The sequence below is a fragment of the Homo sapiens genome, chromosome 22 (genome assembly GCF_000001405.40).
Source record: "Homo sapiens chromosome 22, GRCh38.p14 Primary Assembly".
Lineage (NCBI taxonomy): Eukaryota > Metazoa > Chordata > Mammalia > Primates > Hominidae > Homo > Homo sapiens.
Window position 1 is genome coordinate 49,292,407 of NC_000022.11, and position 7,165 is coordinate 49,299,571.

At 53.9% G+C, this 7,165-nt stretch overlaps 1 annotated feature.

Annotated features, from left to right (window-relative positions):
* Window positions 2,883-3,052: an enhancer, noted in NCBI's record as "experimental_63692 CRE fragment used in MPRA reporter constructs". NCBI's record gives its function as "activates a minimal promoter by MPRAs in K562 erythroleukemia cells, with activity observed for the non-introgressed 22:49691300 variant allele {active_cell/tissue: K562}" and the evidence as "EXISTENCE:reporter gene assay evidence [ECO:0000049][PMID:34662402]".

The following is a 7,165-nucleotide window of genomic DNA, read 5'->3' on the forward strand; positions in this document are numbered from 1 at the left end:
AACAACAGAGACAGAGTTTGATGTCCACTTTTGCTCCTAGGAGCTCACTCAGCCATGGCTGTGCAAGGTCTGCTCTGGGTTCTGGACTCACATACTGAGAATTCATCCCTCCTAGTTTCAACCTGACCCTCAAGAAGATGACCATGGTGGGCCTCATTAATTCCTCTTGAAAAAATTCTGTTTCTCTCAGCCTCCTTGTCCTCACAGTCTCATGTATTAAACTGGTTCCAGCTTCCTACACAGAAAGGTGGTGGAATAAGGTGTTAATAAAATAACACCAACATGAACAGCTGTGCTGATGGCTATCCCCACTCTGCAGGGCATTGGCCATCACAGCAACCATGGCCTTTTCTGCCACTTCCCTGGTAGAGGTATTGCCAAAGGCAGCTTCTGTGTCAGACTTCTGGAATGGGGGATACCTGGAAAGAAAATCCACTGTGTTACAGCACCAGGAGGAGCAGAAATCCAGTTTAATCATCATGTCATGGAGACTGAATATGAAACTTGATGAAAATCAGTCCTGGGGAGTGGTGGTCTCCTCTAATACAGAGAGGGGAAAACACTCCAGGGGAAAAAGCCTGCTGTGACGAGAGGCTTCCCCTGCATGCAAGACAGTGCATGAGAAACCATCAAAGGTCACCCATTCGAAGGCATATCTGAATGAGCAGCCAGCTGAGAAAAGCCAGCGTGGTAGAGACGTGCCTTCTCATGAGGAAACTCATACCAGAAGAAGCCCAGTGCAGAGCACCTAGACACAGAGGAACCCAGACTGACAAGCAGATGGTTAGAGACAAACCTGGAGGAAACAGCTGGATCAAGGAGATGCTGGCCCCTGGGGGCTCGTGAGTTTGTGGTAAATCCAGAGTCAATGCAAGAGGTTCCACCCCATGTCCTGTCCTCCCCATCAGGCCTGTTCTACAGAAGGAGGGCCTTCTGTATGCTGCTTCACAGGCAAAGGTGACACCACCTCCCTGGGAATCGCCCTCTCTGCCTTGGCAGGTTATGGATACAGATAGCTTCTTGAGATGGGTTCCAGACAGTTGTGCTGGATTTTTTCAAGAGGAATTAGTGAGGCCCACCATGGCCATCTTCTTGAGGGTCAAGTTGAAACTAGGAGAGATTAATAAAATGAATGAAATGAAAAATTCAATAGAGAGCTTCATCAGCATATTTGATCATGCAAGAGGAAGAAGTAGAAGAAGAGGAGGAGGAGGAGGAGAAGGAATCTGCACATTCAAAGACTCGTTATTTCAAATTATCCAATCAGAGGAGAAAAAGGTTTTTTAAAAGATTGAAAAAGCATGACAAAACCCTAAGGGATTTATGAAGAAAACCAATACACACATTAATGAAGTTCCAAAAGGAGAAGAGAAAAAGAAAGAAGCTAAAAATTTATTTAAATAATACTAGCTGGAAATTTCACAAATCTTGGGAGGAAAATGGGCATCCAGATTTACAAAACTCAGAAGTTTCTAAATTGGATCAAACCAAAGAAGACACACCTGGACTCACTACAATCAAATTGTCACAAAGAGAGAATTTAAAGGCAGTAAGAGAAAAGTGATTCCTCACATTAGGAGAACCCCCTTAAGACCTCCAGAAAATTTCTTAGCAGAAACTTTAAAAGCCAAGAGAAAGTGTGATGATATATTAAAAGTATTGAAAGAATTCAAAAACCCTGCCAACTAAGAAAACGATACTCAGCAACATTGCCTTTTAGTTCTTTTTTAATGGAGAGATAAAGACTTTCTGAGACCAAACAAACAAACAAGACTGAAGCAGATTATCACCACTAAGCATGCCTTACACAAAGTGTTTAAGTAAGTTCTTCAAACTGAAATAAAAATACACTAAATGGCAATGTGAACACATATAAAAGCATAAATCTCACTGGTCAAAGTAACTATACATACAAACACAGAATAATGTAGCACTCTAATGATGGTACATAAATGTTTTTTAACCCTAACATAAAAGTTTAAAAATACAAATATGGTGTGAGGGTGATGGCATGGGACCACCTGAGCATCCTCGCTTGGTTACTCAGTGGTGTCCTATCCGTAAAGTCCTTGGATCCAACCCCCAAGATATAAGACCCAGAATGCCTGTGTTGGGCTCCTTCTGGGGACAGGAAAGTGGCCTCTGTGAACGAGGTCTGAACAGGTAGGGCAGTGTACTCCAGGGTGAGTTGTTCTCAGCCATGATGATGTTTTTCCAAAGAAAAGAACTTGAAGAGTCAATGTCGTTTGGCAAACATGGCTGAATCAATGTACAGGGGCTGGCTTTGTCTGAACTCCAAGTGGATGAGCATCACTCACCCTTCTCCATGTCCACTTGGTTCCCAGCTCCCTTTGTGGCAGGACACCCTTGCCTACGCTGGGGGAAGCACACAGGAAGCAGAACCAATCCATGGGACTTCGATGAAGGCAGAGCTGCAGGCTCAAGCCCTCTTGCCCCCAAAGTGAAACTTGGAGCTGTGGACCCTGGGAGTGCATGGGGGGAAGGCCTTGGTGCAGACAGAGGCGAGAGGCAGGGAGCAGGGCTGGGACTGCGGCTGCAGGGTGGAAACAGGTAGAGACGCTAAAGTCCAGGTTCCAAAGAACCAGAAAGAAGCCCAGGATATGAGCAAGGGTGGAACAGTGGGGCTAGCTCCCTGGGTCAGGCCTGAACACATCCAAGAACAGGTAGCCGGGGCCCCAAGGCAAGGGTGGGCCAGCCAGGTGGAAGGGCCTCTCTAGCGTCAGCATTCTAAATTTCTAAGCATGGTCTCTACCATTGGCAAGTGAATCCAATTACATGACAAATATTAACACGCTCCAGGTGCCAGCCAGCTCCGGGGGGCCCTGGAACCCTCGGTGGGTCCCTGGGCTTCCCTGAACCTGAGCTCTCACCAATCTGATGGGCGTAGATCAGCACGGAGCTATGTCTGCTGATTCACCTGCGGGCACCTGCAATTCACTCGAGCTGTGCCTGGCAGGGAAAGAGCACTCTGTGAACAGCCCTCAGGCTCTCTGCCTCCACCTTGCCCAGCTCTAGGGCTGTGGAGTCAGGTGGGCATTCTCCTCCAGCCAGGTTCCCTCCCTGAATGACGTCAGCAAGCCCCAGCACGCTCCTCTTCCAATTCCCACTGAGCCGCACCCCTCCCCATGTCTCCAGCTGGCATCTCCCATGGGATCCGACTCAGGTGCCTGCCCGCCTCCCACCATCTCTCCCTAGATGCCCAGGCAACAGCTCACAACACTGCATAGCACTCAATGTTCTCCAGAGAAACAGAGCCAACAGGAAACATAGATGATGTAGATTTAGGTCTATAAGCAATTTATTAGAAGGAATTGGCTCCTGAAATTATGAAGGCTGAGAAGTCCCCAGATCCGCAATAGGCAAGCTAGGGACCCAGGAGAGCTGATGGGGCGGCGCAAGCCGGAGTCCAAGCCAGAGGCAGGAGAAGGCTGAACAGGAACAGTGACTGCCTGGCGCAGATGGCACCATGGGGCAGCTGTGCCCGGAATGTCAGGGGGAAGGCCGGGAGGTGTCCTGGCACCCAGCCAGCTGGGCTAAGGGGCAAGGCAATGAGGACATTCCAGACAGAAGCAAGGATGGAGGAGAGGCAAGAAGACACAGCCTCATGGACACACAGGGAGCGTCCAGTGGTTCCGGCTGCTGGTCTGCAAGAAGGCAAGATGGAGAGGGGAGATGGGGGAGCAGGCGGGCTGCGCTGCGACGACCTTGGCTGCTGGCCAGGAGGAAGGCATCAAGTCTGTGGCTGGGGGAGCCCCTGAGACCTTTAACTGCAGAAGTGACTTCAGCAGGACAACCAGGATCTCAGCTCAGCGCCAGCAGGGTCTTTCGCGTTGCTGCCCATCCTGAGCCGCCCCACAAGCTTGCCCTGAAGGTGGAGCGGCCGACCAAGGCATCCTGGCTGGACCGTCCTGGGATGGGCCCTGCACAGCACAGCAGCCAGGGTGCAGGGAGTCTCTGTCCTCCCAGGCACCCTCCTAGCAGCCACAGTTCCACGGCGCAGGCTGTGTGAGACCCCAAGAGGAAGGCCACATGCCCAGGGCTCTGGTGGTCCTTCTGCACCCAGAGGGCAGGGTCTCCATGGTAGACCAAAGTCCCCTTAAACATGCTCTCTTGGGGCTTTTGTAAGGAATTTTAGTGCTTCCTTAACAGCTCCACTGACTTATTTCTATGAATTTTTCAGGTATTTCATTAATTGATTAATTATAAAACACAAATGTCATCTCCCCAGCACATGCCAGGGACTCCATAAGGCACTAAGATGAACGCGGGCGAGTGTGTCCTAGCTCCAGGCATCACGCGGGGTGACGGGAGGGGTGGGGTCTGTCATGGACAGCAGGACAGCCCAGAGGGCCTGGGGACCAGCAGGTGTGGCCTGCTCCAGACGGACGGCCGGGCTCTCACGGTCCCAGCCAGCCCCTGTCCTCTCCTCTGACTGCTGGGTCTGGCCTGAAGCTCATTAAATTTTGAAGCCTCCTGGTCCACCTAGAGCCTTGTCTCTTCTATTTTTAATGTCGTCAGCCTATCAAACCCTCATAAGCCAGCGCGCCCACGGTTAGAGGTCTCTGTCCTCCAGCAATTTGTAACTTTTTCCTGTTAATTTCACAGCACTAGATGGAGAAGGAACATAAATTGGTTGAAATAAATGAAGTTCCAAATTACACGGCTCTATGTGTTAGGAGAGGAGACGTGGACTCAGGAGGGATTTTGCTAAGAGAGCTTCTCCCAGCAGATTCCCTGTTAGGGGCTAAAGATGGAGTGAGATCCTATAGAAAGAGGCCTTTAATCCGGTCCTCCAAGGCACTAGGCTGTGCCCTCTGCCCAGTTCCCTCCCTGGCCCTGGCATCGGTGGGGACTCTCATTACGGGCGGTATCCTTGCTTGCTGGGCTTGGCGTCCAATAGTGTGAGTGCGGAACACCAGCTCATCCAGGCCTTTCCGGAGCAACGTGAGCTTCTGACGGGGTCACCCTCCCCTGAAAGCCACATGGGAGACCCCAAGGGTGACGAGGGCGAGGCGGGGGAGCCTGAGGCTCTGCAGCTCCTCACAGGCTGGGCTCCTTTCTGCCCAGGAATCCTCAAGCCTGGTGTGGAACCAAGTGCAGAAGCCGTGAGGGTGGAGCAGCTGACCGAGGCGTCCCTGGTCCCCCAGAGCCTCCCAGGCACCCCCTGCAGAGAAGGCAAAGCAGCCTGGGAGCCGCAGAGGCCGAGAAACCAACCCAATCCCAGAACGCCGAAGACACCAGGCTCCCCGGACGGGCTTCCAGGGAGCCACTTCTAGCTTCACAACGTGAACTGTTTTCTCAACACATGACTTCGCAAGAGTAAAAGTCCGTATTCTCCCTAAGGCCTCCTGCGAACGCTGTGTCCAGGCCCCGCTGGGGGATCCAGGCTCTGAGATGCCCCGGCCCCATGCCAGGCTGTGGATGGGGAGTGACCGTGCACTCACCGTGGTGGCAACGCCTGTATGCGGCCTGTAGATGAACGGGGCTCAGCAGGCATTCCAGTTCAGAGCCTGGAAGAACAAGCTGGCTGCAGAGCCAGGCGGGACCCTGTGCAAGTCTGGGGGGCTCCCCACGGTGGGTGCGTGGGGCCGGCATTCTGGGCTAAGGACACGACTACACAGACACTGGGAGCTCCAGGAAGAGGCGTAGCCTGCCGTGGGAGGGGCCAGGTCAGAGGGTGTCTGGGGAGAGGGAAGGATGGCCGTGAGGAGGCGGGAGTTGGGAGCCTTTCTTGAAGAGAGGCAGATGCGGTGAGGAAATGCTGGAAGCAGAGGAGAGATGGGGCCCGTTTTGTGGGCGGGTGGAGGCTGCGGCGGGGGCAGTCAAGGTTCTCCCGAGAAACAGAACCAAGAGCAACGCACAGAGAATGACGTGACGAGGAAGCTGTTTATAAGTCAGGGAGCCGGAGAAGTTCTATCCTCCGCCGTCCGCGAGCTGGAGACCCGGGAGAGCTGGGGGTGTCCTTCAGAGGCCTGAAAGCCGGGGTCAGTGGTGTGGATTCCAGTCCAACTCTGAAGGCCTGAGCACCAGAAACATGCAGGCAGGAGAAGACAGACGGCCCAGCTGAGAGGTAGACAGAGTGGGAACCCACCCAGCCCCCACGTTCGTGCCACTCACCGGGGAAGGTGTCGGCTTCACCCTGTCCACTCCACAGGCAAGCCTGGAAGTAATATTTTGCTGGTCACCTGGGCACCGTGTGGCTCTGTCACAGTGATGGCGAAGTCACAGAATTCACCATCTCGGGGACACACCTGGGGCAGGAAGGCTCTCCGCTGGCTCCTCAGGCAGTGCTCGCCCACCGAGTGCAGCTCCATAAATCCACATTCACCTCACCTGCCTCAGTGTCATGTCTAGGTCTGGTTCCGTTCAATTCCATTAGTTCTATTTCTGCAGCTGGTCTTAGTCCTTCTGATGCCCTAACCACTCACTCCCCGTTCCAGGCTGCCTTGCAGAACCCGCTGCAGCAGCTTCTCCACCACCCACAGCAGCTTCTCCACCACCCACAGCAGCTTCTCCACCGCCCGCAGCAGCTTCTCCACCCGCAGCAGCTTCTCCACCGCCCGCAGCAGCTTCTCCACCCGCAGCAGCTTATCCACCGCCCGCAGCAGCTTCTCCACCACCCGCAGCAGCTTCTCCACCGCCCGCAGCTCCTCACGCAGGCCTCCAGGGCATTCCGAGGCCTCTGCAGGAGGTAGAGAGAGGCCTCTCTGGGCCTGGGCGGTGAAGTCAGGACAGCTCAGCCCTGAGGGATCTAAAGTACAGGGTTCAGGGTCGAGCTCCTCCTGACCAGGGCCAAGCGGGGTGCCCAGCACAGCTTCTCAGGGGGACCCTTGAGTTGGCGTCCTTGGGAGAAGCAGGTCCCATCCTAGAACTTCCCAGGTCCGTGTAGAGCAAGATGAGGGAATGAGGCTGCCAGGCCGCCTGGTGCTGTCTGAGCCGGGAGCCTGCTCCGAGCTCCAAGCTCTGGTTCTCCATCACAATTTCCAACAGAAAAATGCGTGGCTGAAAGGAAGGAAACGCTAAGGACGCTCATGACCCTCTGCCCAGGAGGTGGCCTCTGGAGTTCGGCCCGGCCAGTCCCCATAGGGTGCCCTCTGGAGCTCACCCCTCTCTTGGGTTTGTATCGGGACGCCATGGCCGTGGG